Below are 22796 nucleotides of genomic sequence, written 5' to 3'. Positions count from 1 at the left end.
CAGTATAAATCCTATATTCAGGGGAGATTTTCAAAGCAGAAAGGACTGTGGCTTAGCTTCCCAAGATGTAACTTTGGAAGGTGCATTGTGGAGGAAGTCTCCAACACAGCATCTGAAGGATGGACAAGAAGTGCTGAGAAAGTTGTGTATGAAAAGGTTTCCATGAACATAGAAGTGGCACAACCAACAGTGGACCAAGACTATGTACATGCTGAGATGACAGGCCATGCGGAAACACTGGTATCAGTAGCAGATTCTAGGACACTGCAACAGGGATCCATCAGGTGAGCTGTACCTCACTGGAGGCTGGCAAGGTCAGAAGAAATCACTTGGGCTGAAACCCCTCCCAATACCAGGATGACACAAAAACAACAGCACTCCTCTCAACACAGATTATCCCGAAGAAAAGAAAGGAAAGGAAGGGAATATATCACCAGCGGAAGATTTAATTGGAATTGGCCGTGTATAAGCTATAAGGAACTAAGTTATCTTCAGTTGCTCAGATTGTTTTTCTGCCATCTTAAAAATAGGAGCTACAGGCTGGGCGTGGTGGTTCCCGCCTGTAATCCCAGCACTTTGGGAGACCGAGATGGGTGGATCACCTTAGGTCAGGAGTTGCAGACCAGCCTGGCCAACATGGTGAAACCCCATCTCTACTAAAAATACAAAAATCTAGCCAGGCATGGTGGCGGGTGCTTGTAATCCTAGCTACTTGGGATGCTGAGGCAGGAGAATTGCTTGAACCCGGGAGGTGGAGGATGCAGCAAGCTAAGGACATGCAATTGCACAGTGGCCTGGGCAACAAGAACAAAACCCTGTCTAGAAAAAAAACAAAAACAAAAACAAAAGGAAAGAAAAGAAAGAAAAATAGGAGCTATATATAACTGACTTAATTTAACTTGTAGAGAAATAAACAGTGTTAAAATTTTTAACACCTAGGTTAGTGACTGTAAAATTTTAAACCCGCTGCATGTGGGGGCATGCTTGAAATTCTAAGGAACATTCATGCAAAGAATACTTGCACCATGAACTAATTCAAACCTTAGACAAGACTTGGAGCAAGTCAGAACCAGGATCCTGTGAGAGAACTGTACGCAGAAAGTCAACTGTGATATGAAGTACACTGAGCAAATATTGATAGTCAGCGGGGAAAGAAGGAGATAAAGAATAGTATATTTAAGACCATTAGCTCTGACTGTGAAATATTCAAAGAAATAAATCCCCTTCTCATAAAGGGAAAGCTAATTCTAGGGGATACCAGCTTAGGTGATAAATTTGGTGGCTGGCAATATATTTGAAGAGTTTGACTTTGGAAGAAGAAACAAGATGTCCTGTTCAAGCTATACGGAGAACCCATAGTGATATAGAAGCTAAATAGGCTAGGGGAACCTTGGGACCCTGGAGAGCAGAGATCCCATGATGACGGAAGAGCCAAAGACTGGCCGGTACCCATCATCTCTTGACCCAGACTCTGTCATGGCCCAGTGATGGGACCGTCACTATTATCTCGCAGCTAGTGGGTAATCCAGGGGATTTGGATTGGGGTCCTGTACATCATTTTCCACAACCCTAAGCAAAGACACTTGCCCACCCTTTGCTTTCCTGACTTCAGGGAAGCCTCTTCTCTAGGACAGGCTAAACTCCCTGGCAGAGGAAAAGGAGGAAAGAGAAATTCCTGGGAAAACCCTGGTGATCTAATATTGGAACATGTAACAACTTAACCCATGGTGTATGTGTAACTCCACAATCTCAGAGATTCTGGGAGGCAAATTGTATATAAACAAAAATCGAACAAAGATGTAGCTACTATAATTTTGTAAAAATAATTTTTTTGTCTAGGGATGTAAATACTTATAATGGGATAAAAGGAGGATAATATTTTTGAAAATTCAACCAATACAATTTATGTTTATAAGTTTTTACCTTTTTCAAGGCCCTACTTATTGAATAAATAGTATTTTTTTTTTGAGATGGAGTCTTGCTCTGTTGCCAGGCTGGAGTACAGTGGTGTGATCTCGGCTCACTGCAACCTCTGCCTCCCAGGTTCAAGCAATTCCCCTGCCTCAGCCTCCCTGGTAGCTGGGACTACAGGTGCGTGCCACCATGCCCAGCTAATTTTTTTTTTTTTTGGTATTTTACTAGAGACGGGGTTTCACCGTGTTGTCCAGGATGGTCTTGATCTCCTGACCTCGTGATCTGCCTGCCTTGGCCTCCAAAAGTGCTGGGATTACAGGCATAAGCCACCACACCCGTCCGAATAAATAGTATTTATTGCTTCGGTGGGGGGTTCATATCCAATCTAGAACAAAAACATCACCATTTCACTTAAACTTGAAAGTAAAGGGTTAAAAATTCAGGCGGGCAGGTAGGAAGATAAATTCACAGGGATCATGCCTAGAAACCCAGGACAGTGGGCAATAGATTCAGCAGATCCTAGACCAGAAGGGCAATCAATAGCTTGACTTTCACGGGTAAATCCTACCACACTGCAAGTGTTCTAGAGAAGCTTTGACTCTAACAAACCAAATGCTGTTAACTAACAGTGGCTGAGTAAGGTCTCTGGTTCTTGGATCTTTGAGATTCTTAATATGAGTGTAGTGTGGTAAAAGCCAATGAGGGTTTGCAATGAGGCAACAGCTGGACCAAAAGAAACCCCATATTTGGAACAAGGAAGATGAAAAAAGCATGACAGCTGGAGGATATAGAAAGGGTATGAACTTAGCATAGATATAGCACATGTTCAAGTCCAGGCTGGACCAGCTATAACTTGATGGACTGAACAAGCACAGACGGTAACCTCTGGACCAGATGACTCATCCCTAGGCCAGGACAATATTTTCGCCAGTCCCTCCTTGACATCTTTTCTCACCCAGGTCCTAGTTCAACTCGTGATTTCAAAGAAAAAATTGAGAAAGAATCATGAGCTGACGGATTTGAAACCTTAAATTGACTTCATTGAATTCAAGAAATTCCTGAGTAAACTTGAATGGGGAATACAAAAACTGCCACTGTCAAGAAGACTGGGAGCTCTTACATTTATATCATTTGAATTACAATGGAGGAGAAAAAAAGCATTTTGTCTTTAACACCCAAATTTTCTAACTATGTGAAAATTAAACCCAACATATATGTTAACAGTAACAGGCACATAGCAAACATTTAATAAACAATAGCTCTTAATTAGTATGAAATTATTATACCTTTCTACATTTATCTGACATTTATGCTTTGGTTTTTATCAACTTTAAGGTTTCAAGAGCCCTCTGTTTTTATTATTATTATTATTATTATTATTATTATTATTATTATTATTATCTGTAATGGGGTCTCACTCTGTCACCCAGGCTGGAATGCAGTGGTGCAGTCATGGCTTACTGCAGCCTCGACTCCCCGGGCTCAAGCAATCCTCCCACCTCAGCCTCCTAAGTAGCTGGGACTACTGACGTGCACACCACTATCCTCAGCTAGTTTTTGTATTTTTTTAGAGACAGGGTTTCACCATGTTGCCCAGGCTTGTCTTGAACTCCTGGGCTCAAGTGATCCTCCCACCTCAGCCTCCTAAAATGCTGCAATTACAGGTGTAAGCCACAGCACACAGCTGATTTTTTAAATTATTGTTTATGTAGAAACCTTGTGTTGCCCAGCCTAAGAGCCCTCTATTTAAAAGCAAGCATTTAAAAATAGCTTGTAAGTTTGTCAGGTGGCACAAAAGTACTAGCAAACAACAACAACAAAAAATTGGTTCTTAGGGAAGTAATACAATTATGCAAATATGGTGGGGTACGAACCTGAAGGTAAAAGGGTAAAAGCTAATGTTTGAGAGGGGAGTACTCTAGAAAAACTTACTGAGTTCATACTTTGCCTGGAAAGGAAAATAAGTTCATGTGGACCCTAAGTTATATAAGAATTATGTGTACCAGAATGACAAATAATTAATAATGAGAAACTTAGTATAATATTGCTGCCAACCAGCCTGTATTGAGAAATCAAATTTTTAAAAATGGCTTAGTAAATCTGGAATCAGAGCAAATGTGTTGGGTGGTCTCTCAGGCTATTTTCATCACTGTAGGAGCCCAGTGGACTGTTTTTCTTCATTAAAGGACTGTACCATCCAGAGCATCTATTTATATTCCAAAGTCAGGCCACCCTCGTGCTTGGAAAATACTGCCAGAAATGAACCATCCTCACAGTGTTAGTTGCCCTTTTTATTCTCCAGGAGTGCTGCTACTCTTTAGTTTGCATTTGTTCACCTCGTCTCTCTTCTTTTCAACGTGCATTTTTTAACATGTTGCCAAATAATTAGATTATTTCTTATTCCTATTATTTTTGGTTGGTTACTTTCACCAGCACTTAAAGAGTGATCTTTATTCTTAATGTCATTACCGTAATGTCTTCAAATCACATTGCAGATAGGTTACTTCTGTCAAGTCTGTTCCCTGATTTGTATATTTATAAGCTTCAATCATTTCCTAGCCAGAATATCTTAATTTCTTTTGACTTCTTCCTGGGTTTGGAGAATCTTCTTATTTATTTATTTATTTATTTATTGAGATGGGGTCTCACTCCATCACCCAGGCTGGAGTGCAGTGGTGCGATCTCAGCTCACTGCAACCTCTGCCTCCCAGGCTCAAGCAATTCTCCTGCCTCAGCCTCCAGAGTTACTGGAACTACAGGTGTGCACCACCACACCCAGCTAATTTTTGTGTTTTTTTTGTAGACACAGGTTTTCGCATTGTTGCCCAGGCTGGTCTCAAACTCCTGGGGTCAAGCAATCCGCCCACCTCGGGCTCCCTAAGTGCTCGGATCACAGGTGTGAGCTACCGTGCCCGGCCTGGAGATTCTTCTTAATTTGAGGCTTGTACAGCTTTTATCCACTGACAAAATGCTTAATCATATTTTGTTTTAATCTAGTTGTAATTATAGTTTTAAATAAAAATGTAATACAAAAATATTCCCCAAATGACATTTCTTCATCCTATCTCAAGACCTAGCATTCAAAACTATTACTCTTCAGTCCTCGTTTAGTGCTCTAAGGCAAATTCTCTATCCACACTTGCAATTACCTAAATAAGTTAACAGTCATTCAACCAACCGCTAAAAAACTTATTGCCTATGTTAAGTCCTAAAATTAATAATCAGGGACAGAGCACCACTATTTTATTACATTATAAGTAGTTACTAATAAGAGTTTTATCTTTTTAATTCATGGAATCAAAGTCATTGAAAATACAGTAGTTTCAGATACCCAAGCTCAACTGCAGTCTGAAAATATTTAAATGGAAAATTCCAGAAATAAACCCAAAGTTAGTTCTGGGTACTGTGATAAAATCTTGCACCTTCTGGCCTGTCCACCCCAGGACATGAGTCTTTCCTTTATCTAGTGTATCCACACTGTTTGTGCTCCTCTGCCCCCCTTGTGTCCCTTAAAAGTAGCCATCTTGGTGATCAGGTTGATGGTCATGCTGTCACAGTACTTGTGTTCAAGTCACCCTTATTTTACTTACTAATGGCCCCAAAGCACAGGAATACTGACGCTGGGAATTCAGATATGCCATCAAGTGTTTCCTTTAAGTGAAAGGTAAAAGTTATCAATAAAAAGGAAAGAAAAATAGTTTGTTGATGTTGCTAAGATCTATAGTAAGAATGAAGCTTCTATCCATGAAATTGTGAAGAAGGAAAATAAATTCATGCTAGTTTTCCTGTTGAACCTCAAACTGCAAAATTACAGCCACAGGTCATGAATAGTTGAGATGGAAAAGACATCACATTTGTGAATGAAAGGCATGAACGAAATGTGTTCCAGTTGATGGCAGTTAGGTTCGCCACTGTCCACAATTTAGGGACCCACTGGGGGTCTTGGAACATTTTCCCCTCAGATAAGGGAGACTACTGTACTAATGCTCCATTGATGAGTAAATAATGACAGTTGGGTGGGAAGAATTGCTTCAACATGTATTAGAGAGATATTCACTAATTCATTCAGCAATAATTCAGTAGATATATATTGAGCATCAACTGTATTTCTATATTATACTAGGCAACGTGAATACATCAGTGAAATAGAAAAAAAAATCAGTCCTTACTGAAATTACAATCCAGCAGAGGGAGAGAGAAAATAAAAAGCAAGCAAACTATGTTTATTGCTCATGTTAATGTACAGAGAGAAAGTAGAGAAGGGACATGGATGAGGTAAGAAAGAGATTGCTATTTTTGAAAAGGTTGTCTGGGAAGCCCTCACTGACTGGGTGAGCAGAAACCAGAAGGTGAGGAAATGCAACCAGCACATATCTAGGGGCAGAGTCCCCGAGGCAGATGGAATAGCAAGTGCACAGCTGGACGGGATGATCTGGTGTGTTCAGAACAACAAGGAGGCCAGAGGGGGTGAAAAATAATGAGAGAGAAACCTGGGAGATGGGATTGGAGAGGTCACAGGTAGCCATGCCATGACTACCTTAGAAGTCTTACAAGGACTTTGCCCATTACAAGTGAGAGGGGACATTGTGAGGGTGTTGAGCAGAGAGGTTGTAAGATCTAACCTATGTTGTAAGAGGTCCCTCTGGATAGTACCCTGAGAAGAGTCCATAAGGAGGAAAGATGGAAGCACGGAGTCCATTTGTGAGGTGTCCGCAATAATCTAGGTGAAAGGTGAAGGGTAGTAACAATGGAAGTGGTCATGGAATATCAGATTCTGGATATAATTTGAAGGTAAGAAGTCAATAGGGCTTGCTGACATACGTGAGCTATGAGAGAATGAATCAAAGATAATACTAAGCTTTTTAAGCTAACAGTGGATGAAAAGAAGGAATTTTTATTTATTGAGATGAAGAAGATTACAAGGAATAGATTTAGGGTCAGAATAGAGTCAGGTAAAATCTGGAGTTCAGTTTTAGAAAAGGTAATTTTAGGTGCCCATTATACACATGAGTATAGCTATAGAATAGGCAGTAGAATATATAAATCTACAGTTAAGTGCAACTTTAAGATGCACATTTGAGAGTTGTCAGCATATAGATGACCTCTAAGTCTATCAAGACTGATTGAGATCACTAAGGGAGTGGGCTGAGATTGTTAAGACATCCAACAACAAGCCAGGCAAGGTGGCTTGTGCCCGTAATCCCACTACTTTGGGAGGCCGAGACTGGCAGACCAGCTGAGGTCAGGGGTTCAAGACAAGCCTGGCCAACATACTGAAATCCCGTCTCTACTAAAAATACAAAAATTAGCTGGGCCTGGTGGCAGGTGCCTGTAATTCCAGCTACTAGAGAGGCTGAGGCAGGAGAATTGCCTGAACCCGGGAGGCGGAGGCTGCAGTGAGCCGAGGTCATGCCCCTGCACTCCAGCCTGGGTGACAGAGTGAGACTCCATTTCAAAACAAAAACAAAAGAGATCCAAGAATAAACATGAACACTCCAACACTGACAAGATCAGAGCATCAAAACAAAACAAAACAAAACAAAAAAACTGGAGAATGTGGGTTCTCTGGAAGGCAAGAGAAGGAAAATGTTTCAAGGAGGACAAGGTGCTAAACTATCTCTTTAACTATCAGGGTTGTGTTAAACTCCACCTTCTTGAGCTATCAATCAGTGCCAGGTGCTGCTTATAGGTCAAGATGATGAAGTTTAGTGTTTACCACTAGTTTAAACACTAGAGTTAATTGTTGTTGACCTTAGCCAATGCAGATTTAGTAAGCAGAGTGCGGGGTGGGGTGGGGGGGGAGTGAAAGTCTTACTGAATTTGTTTCCAGAGAAGATGGGAGGAGAGAAATTGAGTACAGAAAAAAAAAAAAAAAAAAAAAAAGAGCAGTTTTGGCAGACTTTCATTGTGACAAAGAACAGAGAAATGGGATGGGAGCTGGAGGAAACTGTGAGGTCAGGAGAATGGTTTTTAAATTTATTTTCTAAGACTGGATAAATTATAGCATGTTGTATGCTGAAGGGAGGAATTCAGTGGAGAAGGAAAAACTAGTGATGCAAAAGTGAGAGAACAGGCCGGGGGTGGTGGCTCACACCTGTAATCTCAGCACCTTGGGAGGCCGAGGCGGGTGGATCATCAGGTTAGGAGTTCGAGACCAGCCTGGCCAACACAGTGAAACCCCGTCCCTACTAAAAATACAAAAAATAAATTAGCTGGGTGTGGTGGTACATGCCTGTAATCCCAGCTACTTGGGAGGTTGAGACATGAGAATCGTTTGAACCTGAGAGGCCGAGGTTGCAGTGAGCCAAGATCATCCCACAGCACTCCAGCCTGGGCGACAGAGTGAGACTCTGTCTCAAAAAAAAAGAAAAAAAAGAAGTGAGAAAACAATTATTGGAGCAATATACATAAATGGGTGAGAAGATAAAGAAGCTCAAAATGGAGGAGTTGGCTTTAGATAGGACCAGTGATGGTTTACCCATGGTAGGAGGAGGAAAGGCAGAGCTATCAGAAGATGGGTAGCTGAGCTGTGAAAGTATGTGTGCAAAATCACTCCTAGGGGCTTCTGTTTTCTTAGGGAAAAAAGAAGCAAGCATAGGAGACAAGGCATTGGAAGCTTGAGGTCAGACTGGAGGTATAAAACAGTCAATTGACTAGGGAATGTTGCAGGAGTTCTGGGCGGTACGTAAGTCCCAAAGGAGCATTTCGAAACTCATGTTCCTTGGAAAATATTCCCAGAGTGTTAGAAAGTGAGTTTGAAAAAACTCAGTGACTACATATTTTGGGAAACCACTGTACACTATGTGGCCCAGTCTCCCAGATTCACAATGCCAATTAACAAATTAACAGCCACTGCAGCACCCTCTTTGGAGGGTTGAAGAAAGATGTTTAACATCGTGTAACCAAAATTTTTCCAAATATTTGAGAGCACAGAACTCTTTGTGTAGGAGCACCTATTAGCATTCTACAGAACAGTGTTCCCCAAACTCCAATTTGGAAAATGACTTCTCCAACCAGGAAGGGGTGCACTTGTTCCCCAAGGGAGGCTCTTGCAGTCAGTACTAGTCCATCCACAAGGAACAATGTCTGAACTATGTGAAAAATGCAAAACTTCAGAGTCTCTAGATAAAGAACTGGGGAAAAGCTCACTCATCTTTTCCTGAAGCTCCTTAGCCATGAACCACAGTGAGGGTATAAAAAGCCTTCAATGGCAATTCAGTCTAATGAGAAGAACAATGTGCTGGGATCCATGAATCCAAACCTGACATGCACGGGCTACACAATCTTGGCAAGTCTTCAACACTTAAGTGTCTAAAGGTTCACTAATAAGTTATCTCCACCAGTATCGGGTATAGGATACACAGTGATTAAGAGGACTTGTGTGAAGTCAGTCAACGTAGGTGCAAATCTCAGCTCCATCTCTTACCAGCTGTGTTATCTTGGAAACAAGTTAACTTCCATTGGACTTAGTTTTCTCTTTTCTAAAATGGAAACGATTTCACCTACCCCATTGGCTATCATGAGGGTTAAATGAGAAAATACACATCAAACACTTAGCACATTAATTTTTATACATATATTGTAACAAGAAAATGCAACAACTGATAGAAAATAGTTTTCTAAATTAAAAACTCTATGAAATTGTAAAGCAGCATTAGTTTTTTACTAATAGTGTAGCAAAGGAAACTAAATTAAGACTGTTTTTTAAAAGAAAACATATTAGACAGATAGATTTGGTTCTAAACCATTGCTCCTTATCCTTTTAAAAACCAATATCCCTAATCTGTTTTTCTCCCCAGTGTTTCGGCAACAGTCTACGTAGAGTTTTTTCAAGCTTTGTACTGTCTTACTGCAGAAAGAAACAGCTTTTCTGTTGGGGATAATAATAGTAATAAAATCATATTGTTTTAGATCTGTGGTCCAGCATGTTCTTTACAAGCAGGTATTGCTCCTGATGGAAAAATAAAGGTTATTGAAGGGTTAACTGACTTAGTGAAGGTCAACAACATGGAACAATCATTCTGCTCATAGAGCGGCAGGAAAGTCTGTATTCCTGACATATTTATAACTCTATGGCTAAGATGTTTGCTTAATGTTCTTTTTTATTTAAAGGTCTCTGACCATTTAAACCTTTTGCCTTTTAACTTAGATGTGCTTTGCTGGCTATTAATGCCTTTTAAGTACTTTCTGTATGCTCACATTAAGATCTGGACCTACCAATTTTCAAAGAGTTCTGCTTTGACAAAATTCCAAGGTAATTATAGCAATTGTTTTTTAAAAACATGTTCAAGTTAAAAATAAAACCTTCTTTTAGATTTGAAATTTCAAAGAATTAAATTTCCTTGCTTGTTGTAAGAAGATAATTCTTAGACTCTGTGATACTAAGAATAAGAAATACACTACATTTTGCATATAGGTTTAAAATGTATTTGAGGATGTCTGCTATTAACCTTGGAACATGATCCAAGACCAGGCTCAGAGATAGGAGCTAAAAATCTGAAGCCTAGGTTTTATTGCCAAACCTACAGAGAATTACATGTCTCCTTTCTAACTTTGATGTTTCTAGATAAAAAGGCAAAATATTTATTTGCTGCTTGATTACATGTTACTAAATAAAAGTGATATTTGTAAGTACTGCTGGGGTTAAATTATATAAATATTTTTATTAGCACATGATTGTAAGAGATAGGGATCCCAAAAGTAGATGTGCATGAACAGACACAAGTCAATACACATGCACAAAAAGAGATAGAGTTACGCATGGTGTGTGTCTAGATTTTCACAGCAGACACAGCCATATGTTTCTTATCTCAGCGGCTGCCCAGTGAACTCATGCATGTGGATAACAGTTCTAGCAGGCAAGAAGCCATATAAACAATGAGGATAACTCATAATGAAACAAAGAGGCATGCTAATAGCAAATTGTATCATGACAACAAACCCTACTCAACCAAACTTTTTTAATGAGTAATTTTGATAAATGAATACATCATATATTAACATAATAATCCCATTGAAAAAATAATCACAAGTTTGATAGTGATGGACTGCATAGCACTTTGTTCCATAAGATACGACGGTCACATCTGCTCCCTGACTTTTGTCTAGTTACCTTCATTATAATCTTTATGTGGTCAGCAGGACAGTACCAAGAAAATGTTGCCTGTTAGACAGCAGTTAAATTCCATGAACTGTTTTATTTTTTTCATTGCAATAGTGAAAAAAACTGCTTCTAGATTCAAAGGAATAAAGAATGGGACTTAAATTCTGTTTCTCTTTATGTAATAAATACGATGTACACTTTCTGCTTAGTTTGGGGTGGGGTGGGTAGTGTAATAAAGCTATAGAATTTTATTCATATGGGAAAATTTGTATATGTTAAAAGTAAGCCTTACATTTCACCTGATGTTTTCTTTTGAGAAAATACAGTTGCCCTGTTTAATTCAATGAGAAAAATATTTAATAATTGATGAGGATTTGTTGAGTTGAAAATTGTAAACAAGACGATATTTCAATATAACAGCTCTAAAATAACTAAACAGACATTCTCCGTTGTATTTATTTGCCCTTTCTATAGCACCTATCATCTTAATACTTAGACATAAAAGTACCAGGCATGATGTGAGGATGAAAATATTATGATCCCACCGAATTTTTTTATCTCAGTGAGTTAAAATACAATGTTCAGCCATACATATATTTTCCCTTGTTACTGTGCTTAGTTCTTGAGACTAAAAAATGCCGTGTAGACTACAAATACATAGTGATTGATGTGAAAGAAATACAAAAATGTGGCACTGCACTTTAATTTTAAAATGACTCAGCAGTTTAAATACAAATACGCAGTTATATAGTAGTGGTAGTTAATGGCCATGCTTTGTGTCTTAGTTTCATTCTCATTTTTGAAGAAACTTGTTTTTGTCATAATCTTTGATAACTAGTGGAAGTCCTGAGACCCACAGTAATCTGTTGGGTCTGTCAAGTGAAATATGAAAATGGTTTCCATAATAACAATTATTGATGCACTGTGCAAAATCCTTGTAATTGTAGTTTTGAAGACAAAGTGATTTGAAAGCATCAGATGCCTCACGTTCCTCATTGTATGCAATGGGAATTCACACTCATTTACAAATATTTGTTGAGTGCCTACTACATGCTAGGCAGTTTTCTACACAATGGGCTGTAGCAGCCAACAGGATGGAAAAATTATCTGGCCTTGTGGAACTCCTACTTTAGTGGAAGTGGGCTGCAGACACAGACAGACTGTATGTAACAACAACAATGTAGTATACAGATACTTCTCAACTCACAATGGGATTATGGTCTCAGTAAACCAACTGTAAATTGAAAATACTGTATGTAAAACATGCACCTACCCTACCTTAAACTTGCTCAGAACACTTAACATTAGCCTACAGTTGGCAAAAATCATCTAACACAAAGCCTGTTTTAAAATACAGTGTTGAATATCTCATGTAGTTTATTGAATGTGAAAAACAGAATGGTTGTATGGGCACTCAAGGTATGGCTTCTACTGAATGCATATCCCTTTCACAGCTTCTTAAAGTAAAAAAATTGTAGGTTGGAACATTGTAAATTGGGCATCATCTGTATTAGATGATGATAAGCACTACATAGAGAAAGATGAAAGGGAAGGAGAACCAGGAGTGCTTGTGAGTTTTGCAACTTGCAATAAATTAGCAAGGCTCACCTTGAGGATATGAAAGCAATAGTATAGCTTCATAGGATTCCACGAAGATTAAATTAATTATTATATGAAAAATGCTTCCAATGGTGTGTGGCACATAGTAAATGCTTAATAGCTGTTGGTTTAAAAAATAGGAGTGTCATTTAAGGAGATTTTAAGAAAAGTTTTCATTTGCTCTACAGTAACATTTCTTTATTTGCTATGGCCATTTTTATTTGGAATTGAGAATGAAATTGTATTTGAATTCTGTATAAAAAGATCAAAAAACTAATTTGTGAACTGGATAAAATGTAAAAACCAGGAAACCAAAGTCTTCATGCTTCATGGATAAATTATCCACAATTTGTCTCTGTCTTAATGGAGAGAGAGAGAGAGTAAGAAAGAGGGAGAAAGAGAGAAGAAAGAAGAAAGAAGAAGAAGAGGAAGGAGAAGAAGACGGAATAGGACGAGGAGGAGGAGCAAGAGGAGGAGGAGGAGAACAAGAAGAAGAGGAGGAGAAGGAGGAAAGAGAGGAAGGAAGGAAGGAAAGAAGGAGGGAAGGAGGGAAGGAAGGAGGGAGGGAGGGAAGGAAGGAAGGAAAGAAGGAAGGAAGGAAGGTCTTTATTAAGAATTGATTTTAAGTTTAAAGTTGTATTAGGACACAGAGATGATTCATTTTAACTTCATATGTATTCTAACTTGGAAGCTGCATCAGTTAAGAGAGATGCATACCAAATCTAGCTAAATACTCATCTTTACAAATTAAATTAACTGAGTACATACGTTTTATTGAACTAAAGTACAGAAACTGTATATATTCCTTTAGATTATTTTTCTTGACAAATAACTCTATTATTCTGGTAGGCAACTATATTTACAGGTATCATAGGGTACCCAGAATATCCTAGGCCTTTTGGAAGTTACTTTCATTCTTTCACCGAAAAGCTTTGAGGACTTGCTATGTGCTGAGTGCCAAGTTAGGACTGGTGATAACTGAGAAGTGGTCAGACACAATTCTTGTCAAGCCTTGTAGAGCTTACAGTCTTGTAAGGGAGGGTATGGAAGACCTCATTAGTTGTTCACATCCTTGTAAAGAAGGTGCCAACCCAGTTGTACTGGGAGGAAAACTGACCCCAACAAAAATTAAGCAACCTGTCAAAGGTCACAGAATCAAGTGGCAAAACCAGCAATCAGTTTGTCTTTCTGGCTCTCAGGCATCAGCTCATGTGCTGCTGCTTCACTCTCATTTGAATATGAAATGCAAACGCAGCTTATATTTTGGGAGACACAGATTTGCCTTTTTAATTGTGACTTGCTTATCCAACTTTTAAAAATTAATGTCCATTGCTCAAAGACACGTAAATTCATGGAGTGGAAGGATAAGCCATAAGCAGACTGTGTAACTCAGTGAAGCTAAATTGTGATTCACATTTTGCCTTAGGTAAATCACACATGGATTCATTTAAAATGGACTACATTATGGTTTGTGTACTTTAATAACATATTGACCACATTGTGCAGAAAATATAGTTAAGAAACATCAATCTATTTTGTAGTTTATGAGTTAATGTCCTTAAAATGATGGCCAATAACTTGTAAGCCAATGGTATATTTTTCTTTTTTTTTCTGTTTGCCAGCAAGAATTCAATAGAGAGCCTCACTAATAGAGTGGTTTGCAATTTAGGACTGATTAGGACTAAAACATTATGAAACATTACATAGTAAAAAGGCAACTGCCAGTTGGTTGTTCCAAATTCCATCCAAGAGACCCTTCTTCCTGTCTGCTTTCCTGTGTTTGGTCTCCAGGAACTCATGTGACCCATTTCCAGCCATTGAAATATAAGCAGAGATACAGTTGATGCTTCTGGAAAGCTTTCTAAATGGAACAGACTTGGTTTTGCTCTTAGCCTTTTTTTTCTTCCTACTATGGAGAGGGAGGGGCAGCTGTATTTAAGAAAGGGAGCAGGAAAATAAAATGAGATTGGGGCTTTGGTGTGCCAGGGAGCTGCACAGTCTTGAACTGTGGCTGCTTATTTTTCGATTTCTTGTTTCACTGCAAGGGATGGACAAAAATATGTATCTTTAACTGGCATTAGTTAGGTTTTTCCATTGTTTGTAGATGAAAGCTATGGAAATCAGTATCATAATCTCCCTCCCTCCCTTGTTTCCTCTTATTTTCATTTTATTTTATTTCCATGTTTCTGACCAGGTTTCATTTCTTTCTCCCTATTCTTCTCTATCAGCTATCTAATTCATTTTAGCTTCAACTATGGTAGAACTAATTACCTATTTGATGACTCTCAAATCTATCAAAACTAAAAATGAATCCTCCTGAATTAAGGAATGAAATATAAGATCGTTTCCCATTCTCTTTTCTTTGTACCCCTTCCTCAAAATAGCAAGTTGCTGAATTCTAAGAGTCTGAATTTGTAATGTCTTTCATAGCTGTTCCAACCTTCATTTCTTGATCTGCAGTCCAATTCTATACCCCTGAGCTATACTCCCTCTTCCAATCCTCGTTTCTTTTTTTTTTGTTTGAGACAGTCTCCCTCTGTCACCCAGGCTGGAGTGCGGTGGCACCATCTCGGCTCACTGCAAGCTCCTCCTCCCAGGTTCATGCCATTCTCCTGCCTCAGCACCCCCCACCCCCCGAGTAGCTGGGATTACAGGCGCCTGCCACCACGCCTGGCTAATTTTGTTTTGTATTTTTAGTAGAGATGGGGTTTCACCATGTTAGCCAGGATGGTCTCGATCTCCTGATCTCGTGATCTGCCCGCCTTGGCCTCCCAAAGTGCTGGGATTACAGGCATGAGCCACCGCACCCTGCTCCAACCTTCATTTCTTATCACAGCAATTTGATATCAGTTTCTCATGATTTCTTAGCGAGGCTATGCAACAGGAGTTGTATTCAGCCCATCCCATCCACCAATGTCCCATTTATATTCCTAGAGTTCAATCTTTATTCACCAAGGAATTAAAACTCAAGCCATTCTTGTTTACCAATTTAAGATGTTTTACTTCAAAGCACCACCCAATACTAGCAAGAACACAGGGAAAATGGCACTCTCAAATATGATAGTGTAATTGTAAACTGGTAAAATGCTTTTTTTCCCTTAGAGACAGGTTCTTAATTGCCTAAGCTGATCTTAGCTCACCAGGCAATCCTCCCACCTCAGCCTCCTGAGTATCTGGGATTACAGGCACATGCCACCACTTCCAGCTTATTTTTTTTTATTTTTGGTAGAGACAGAGTCTCTCTACATTTCTCAGGCTGGTTTCGAACTTATGGCCTCAAGCAATCCTGTCACTTCCGCTTCCCAAAGTATTGAGCCTGTAAGTGTGAGCCATTGCAGCTGGCCATAAACTGATAAAATACTTTTGAAAAATAATTTGACAGTAGGTTTCTATAACAGTAAAAATAAACTCATATTCTCTGTTTCAGTAACACAACTTAGAGGAAACTATCTAAAATAAAATTGTATTTTTTTTACAAGAAGAAGCTAAGATATTCACTATTATGTAAATACAATTGCAAAAATTTGGGAAAATTCTAATGTTACGTGCTATATAGTTATTTATCAGTTTTATCTAAGCTCATCTTAATATAATACCTAGGTTAATGTATTGTATATAGCATGAAATTAAAGTGGTATTTTGCAAACTAGATAAACTTTAGTGGAATTAAATTATTTCCATGGAGAGTACTATTTTCATTTGTAAAGTTAAAAAAGCAAGGATACCTATAGTTCAGATCTCATATGCCTCAATTTATTATATTTTAAAATGCAGATTATTTATTACTTTACAGCTCTAATGTTTATAACCTCAAAATTTGCAAATGTCATTTTTTTTAAAACAAATTTGCTGTGAATTTTCCTTCTGGTATTAAAAAATTGAATGTTTTTAATCTAACACAGTAGAATGCTATCTAATTTTAATAAAAAATGAAGAGGAATATAATTGAATAATTTTTAAACAATTCCATATGAAAGAGAAAATGGAATGCTCCAAATGTATTATATTTATATAAAAACTTCTACTTAGAAGAAGGTTGCTTGAGGAACACTGCCAGAATTAATGTTCAAAAGGTATTTACCGACACATTGCAGAATTTTGTTATTTTCAATATGTGCACCCAAATGGAAACTCAAGTTTTCTGCTAAATTGTGTTTTAACGTATATCATTCTATGTTTATATATTATAGTTGTTTCATTGATTCAAGAAGCATTCATTAATCACCTACTATGTGCAAAACAGTGTGAGGGTAAAAGAAAGGCTAAATAGGTGATTAAAGTACAGCTCTTGTTCTGAGAGGGGTTACATGTAATAGGTGAGCCAACAATACTTCATGGAAGTAGAAAGGTGTGAGAACCTGAAGAATAAATGAGGGAATCAACATTTATTGGATGCTTACTTGGGCCAGTATATCTCCCATTGGCGCAGGTAAGCATCTAATAAATCTTAATCTTTCAATGTGGGGAAAATGTTATTTAAGTAGGTGGAAAAATAGAGAATCAGAAAGAAGATGAAAGCCCAGCTAGTCAGCAGCTGAAGCACTCTTTCCATTATACCACAAGAAGCTCCAAGAAGGGAAAGATAACTTTTTGGTGAGAGGATGGATATGTATACATGTATGTGGGGTATGCAGGAATCGTTTTTAGAGGATTCCAGAGAAGACAGAGGAAGATCATCGCAAGGTGTGTGCCCAGGCTGGAGGGGAAAGTATGAGGTATGAATATGGAAGTGGGGCCTTTATGTGTCACAGTATTTTGTTGTAACTAATTTGTGCCAACTTGGCTTTGTAAAGACAGATATGTTATAATTAGTGCATGTGAGGGAAAGGGGGCTAGATGCAGAGCTCAGAGCTGGGAAGCAGACATGATAGTGGAGGTGAGTCTGGAAAAGGCCTGCATGAAAGTGACTGGAGGAAGGTGGAAAAGAAGACACATCTGAAGATGTGATGAAGATATTTAAACTAGAAGGACCGAAAACTGTATTGATTGCAATAAAACAAAGTTACGAAATGGCATTTTCCCCCTAATTTGCAGACAGCTCATCCCCCAAATCAAAACATGTTGTTTACCAAGTAATCACATAATATCACCAGCTGTTTGCAGTTATAGGAAGGCTTTTACATGTCTTTCTCACTTTCTCATACTTGAACAGGAAAATTCCCCTTTGCTGCACATTATTGCCAAGATATGACATATGAAAAATAGAGGCTTGAAAACCTAACAGTACATGTTCACTTTCGGCCTTAGGAAAAAAATCAAGATTGTATTTTAAAATTTGTTCAGAGTTCTGGAAATCAGCTTTATTTTCCTTTCTAGTTAATTCTAATCTTTCAACATAGCTTTTACCTCTAAAAGGGACTTCATTCCTACCCTATTCCTTGAAATCGTATTAGTGCTAAATCATCTATGGTTTCACTAATCCAAAGCCTTACAATCTCTAAATGTACACAGATATTGAACAGAGTTTTTACCTTAGATAAATCTGGGTGAGGTATAAGTAATGCTCTTAATACTGTAAAAGATTTTTCTGGCCGGGCGCGGTGGCTCCCGCCTGTAATCCCGGCACTTTGGGAGGCCCAGGCGGTCACCTGAGGTCGGGAGTTCAAGACCAGCCTGACCAACATGGAGAAACCCCATCTCTACTAAAAATACAAAAATTAGCCAGGCGTGGTGGCGCATGCCCGTAATCCTAGCTACTTGTGAGTCTGAGGCAGGAGAATCGCTTGAACGCGGGAGGCGGAGGTTGCAGTGAGCCGAAATCGCGCCGTTGCACTCCAGCCTGGGCAACAAGAGCGAAACTTCGTCTCAAAATAAATAAATAAATAAATAAAATAAAAAATAAAAAAAGATTTTTCTAACCACTAATTTTACAAAGACAGTATCACCACTGGTTGAGTATAAGAAGAGCTGGCAAAAAGTTTGTGGGCAGGTAACACTTACTTTTACATTAACATTATTTCTAATTGTAAATTTTCCTGTTGTTTGAATTAGATATTTTATCTGCTTTGAGGGTGTTTGGGTGTGGTTTTCTTTTCTGGACAATGTGTTAGGTAAAAGAAACTCAATGCATGCGTTATGTGTAAGAAATTAAGAATACCCAACTTTATCTTCTTTGTTCATAATTCATCCTTCTTTTGGTTATCTAAGACTAAGTAAATGAAGTTTTTATATATAGTTAGGGAAATGGGTTATCATTCTTTATCAAAATCATCTTGGTTTTAAACAGGATTGAAGCCACATAGTATTGGATTCGACAGATACTTTCAACCCCCAAATTCTATGACCGTACTTTCTCGCTACACATTCTTTTACATGGTCCTCTTGAATTAAGGATGAAATAAATTTGCCATCTTTACATTTTCTGACTTTTCACATCTCTGCAAACACAGAGGTAGAGAGGAAAAAGGTCTAAACATTAAAAATCCGCACCTTTGCCAAGGTAGTGTACTTTTCCCTATCTTCTTCCCTTCCGTCCACACCTTACTTTTCTTTAAATCTAAATTCTATATGGAGATAGAATTACATGAACTAGTTTGGAAACGCATGCGTGTGTACACACACACACTCCTCTAGTGATCTCCGTTATCATCCATGCTTTGTATTATTTCAAATGTTTTTGCTCTTTTACACGCACCCCAAGTCCACACAATGAAGTGATTCTCTCTTCTAAACCTGTTTTTCTCTTTTCTCCTTTTCCTTTTCATAGCTAGGAAGTTGCCTTAAGATTTCTACTCCATATCTGTCAACAATTTTTAAAATCTGCATCTTTTCCCCCCAATGCTTGATGTACTTTTTTTTTTTTTTAACCACACAGGGTATCCAGACTCTAGATACTAACCTTGACCTACCCCTAGTTTCCTTATCCCTCTGGAATGGATTCTTGTAGTTTGTTTTCTATCTTTCATCACTCTCCTAACAAGCCCGTGGCTTATGCCATAGGAAGGCAGTGCAGTTTGCTTTTCCACGTGCAGAAGCACTCGCTATAGAATATATTTATGGTCTATCCGCCACTCAGCTCACTCGAGAAAGAGCTGTTAGTACAAGAACTGCCACGATGACATAATTTCTTACAGCATCCTTCCACCCTTACAGTGAAACTCCCTTCCTTCACTCCCTGCCCCACCTAGAGGGAAACTTCACAGTGATTCTAGTAGAGGCAAGTTTCTCGTTGAAATCCTGCGCAGTTGTTGATATTCTGCTGCTTTTCAAACTTGTGTTTTCACGTCGTTTCCATCCGGGTGTAGTGGAGTGTAAGGGGCTGTTTACCCTAGGCCCAGGATCGGATCAGGGAGTGGGAGTTGCGGCTGCATTCCCCGGAACAGAGACCGCACCGCAGCAACCACCAACCCCTCACCCCCGAGTCCCACTGGGTTCCCGACGCCCTCGCTGCGCCCGCGCCTTCCCGCTCCCGCCGCTGAGGCTACTTCACTCGAGCAGTGCTCCACAAATTTCAGACATTTCTTCCTCTTCGAAACCTCAAGACCAGGACAGACCCCTCCTCTGAATCCTGCTGCCTTCCTAAGACGCATCTTAGGCTGTGGGACCCCTCCTCTAGGTTGGACCACCCATCCCATTTTCCCCAGAACCTAGGAGTGGCAAGAGGCAGAGAACGCACCAGGCAGACGCCGCCTTTGTTGTCATTAGGAACGCACACCGCGCCTGAAGTGGCTGGAAACCGCCACACCGATGGGGAGCCCAGCTGGCCCTGGCTCACATTCGTGCCTTCGTTCTCATTTCCTGTTTCTCGGCCTCTCCCTTGTTTCTCTTCCCACCCCACTCCACGCCACAGTACAGCAAAGCTTTCTCTCTGCACACAAACTTCCCCTTCCCGGCCTTCCCACAGCCCTGGCGATTTCCCACGCGGGGCGGGCCGGGCCGGGGGCGCGGGGCAGGGGAATACTGTCGTGCCCGGAGCGCCGCGCTCACCTAGGATGGTGAGGAGGCGGGCCCACAGCCTCCCGCCTCCGTCCGCCGCGCGCCCCGCCCGCCCGGCCGCTTCCGCCCCGTCTGCTCCCCGCCCCCGCCGACCCTCCGGCTCGGCGCTGACCCCGCGCCCTCCGAGCCGCCGCGGGAACTGCAGGGCCGCCCGGCCGCCTCCTCCCTCTCCCGCCCCACAATCCCGCGGATCCGCTCCCCGGGGCGCGGAGGCGGGGAGGGAGGGGCTGCCGGGGAGAGCGTCAAGGACTCGGCTCCGGGCCGTCCGCTTCTTGGGGCTCCGCTCTGGGCGTGGGGCAGTGGAGCTGGACTCCCTTCCCCGCCGCCCCCGGGCCCCGCGGGGGTCTGCAGATCCCGCTTCCTCTGCCCCAGTCCTCCAAGTTTGCGTGCTTTCCCACAGAACTGGCGCAGGCAGGGGCCCCTTCGCTGGGGTGGCGAGGCCAGGCGCGCATCTCCGCCTCGCCCCCATTCATCCCGCCAAGGTGAAGCGCAGGGAAAAGGGGCGCCCCCGCTTCGCCCGCAACGTGCGTCGCTCCGGAACCCAAACAATGACTCCCCTGCCTGCCGCGCCCGGCCCTCCGCCCGCCCCACCGGCGCGCGGGGGGCACCGCCCGCGGGGCTGCCCCTGCCTGACCCCATTGTTGCCCGGCGCGGGCGATGCCCGGCGCCCAGGGGCGGTCCCCGCGAGCTGCCCCACAGTCCCGGCCGGCTCCGCCCACACCTTTCCAAGTTCGCTGGCGGGCGAGCCGCGGGGACGACCCGGGCGACAGCCCCCTCCCTCCACTGCGCGCCCCCACCCGGGCGGGTGCGGCGAGGGGTGGGGGCCCAAGCGGGCTGCACGCTTTTTGGGTCCCCGAATTCTCCTAAGCCTGTCTGGCGCGCTCTGACACAAAAGAGGAGACTTTCTCGCGGCTCGGCGCGAGTCCTTGCCCAGCGAGTTGCTCTCCAGGGGTCCCTCCCGCCGCAAGCCCCCGCGGGCCCCCTCGGCCGACGACTCCCCGAGCTCCCAGGGCCATGTGTGGGTTATTTGGGGTGCCGCAGCAAAGTGGTGCAGGTGAAAGGGAAGCGCTGCCGAGGCCCGGGGCCGGAGGGCGGGGGCAGGGGTGGGGCGGGGTGGGGCGGGGTGGAGGCGCCGCGGACCCAGCCCGGCGGTCCGGGCGGGGAGGCGAGGGCCGGGCAGTGGGTGTTGCCTTCTACCTCTGCGAGCGGGGAGGGGTTAGTTTCCCACAGGGGATTTCAACCATCACACTCAGAGCCCGCCTCCTAATCCTCGGGCGGAGCGGCTCGGGGGCCCCATTTTATGGCAATAAAGCGACTTAGCGCCTGCTGAGCGAGCCCCTCCCCGCCGCCGCCCCCGCCCTCGGCCCCACCCCGGGGCTCGCCGGCAGCGGCGGGGCTTTGTTTCTGGGGAGGAGGACCCGGAGCTCTTTTGTTTGGGGGTTTCTTGTTTTCGGCCCCCCCCCTCACAGCACCCCACCCCACCCCACCCCAAGCGCCTCTCCGGTTTCCTGAGCTGCGGGCTGCGAGGGAGGAGAAGCGGCGTCCTGCAACCCCCTCGGCTGGGCCCCGGGGTAATTCGATGCGGGCCTGGCGAGGCTCCCCACACTAGACCGGGGCTCGCAACTCGGCAGCCTCCACCCACCGGCCCACCCTACATTTAGCGCATCATGTGATCCGGGTAAGTCATTTGCAAGTACAACAGTTCCCCGGGTTGCCCCCCATTCATTTCCTGAGAACTGCAGAGAGCCGCTGAGAGGCTCTGCGTGTGCGTGTGCGCGGGTGACGCCGTGTGTGTGCGAGTGTGTGTGTGTGTGTGCGCGCGCGCGTGTGAGAGAGAGAAAGGGAGAGAGAGAGGGGGACTCTGTGTGAGGGAAAGAAAACAATTTCTCCTGCTCTGCAGCTTCTGTTCAGGTCTGTGCCGATTCCGTTTCTTATCAAAATAAACAACCCCCTCCTCTTTTTTTTTTTTTTTTGCCATCCCAAATCAGACCGTATTCTCTTAACGTGTTTTATTTTCCTTCTGTCATCTGCTCAAGTTAAATCATTTTGGTTGGTCTGTGTTCTTAAAGGGGGAAAGTGCTGGGAAGCGGGAGGGGGCCGGGGAAGGGCGATGCTGTTGCAAAGCAAGTAGCGTCGGTCGGATTCGTGGAGAAGAAAGAAGGAGGTTTCTTCCCCACCTCCCCTAATTTTTTTTTTCCAGAAGAAGTTATCAAGTAACGTGAATTAAGCAAGTGTTTTTCTACCC

General features: G+C 42.1%; 1 protein-coding gene across 15 annotated transcripts in view, besides 1 other annotated feature; it reads left to right on the top strand.

Annotated features, from left to right (window-relative positions):
- Positions 1 to 22796, top strand: part of KLF12 (KLF transcription factor 12) — a 619957-nt gene that overhangs the window by 149845 nt on the left and 447316 nt on the right. For 6 of the 15 annotated variants that reach the window (NM_001400147.1, NM_001400150.1, NM_001400149.1 and 3 more), the window contains exon 1: positions 21797 to 22229. The exons of 3 other annotated variants lie outside the window; for them this stretch is intronic. The gene's annotated coding sequence lies outside the window, so the exon portion shown is untranslated. Of the gene's footprint in view, positions 1 to 21796; positions 22230 to 22271; positions 22463 to 22796 lie in introns of those variants that run through there. 6 more of the 15 variants (NM_001400148.1, NM_001400151.1, NM_001400152.1 and 3 more) reach the window with 1 other exon arrangement.
- Positions 20301 to 22050: a silencer, noted in NCBI's record as "silent region_5399". NCBI's record gives its function as "represses an Ori minimal core promoter by ATAC-STARR-seq in GM12878 lymphoblastoid cells {active_cell/tissue: GM12878}" and the evidence as "EXISTENCE:reporter gene assay evidence [ECO:0000049][PMID:35858748]".

Source organism: Homo sapiens, chromosome 13, assembly GCF_000001405.40.
Source record: "Homo sapiens chromosome 13, GRCh38.p14 Primary Assembly".
NCBI classification, from domain to species: Eukaryota; Metazoa; Chordata; class Mammalia; order Primates; family Hominidae; genus Homo; species Homo sapiens.
The sequence above is the reverse complement of the archived record's forward strand: the minus strand, read 5'-3'. Positions and strand labels throughout refer to the sequence as shown.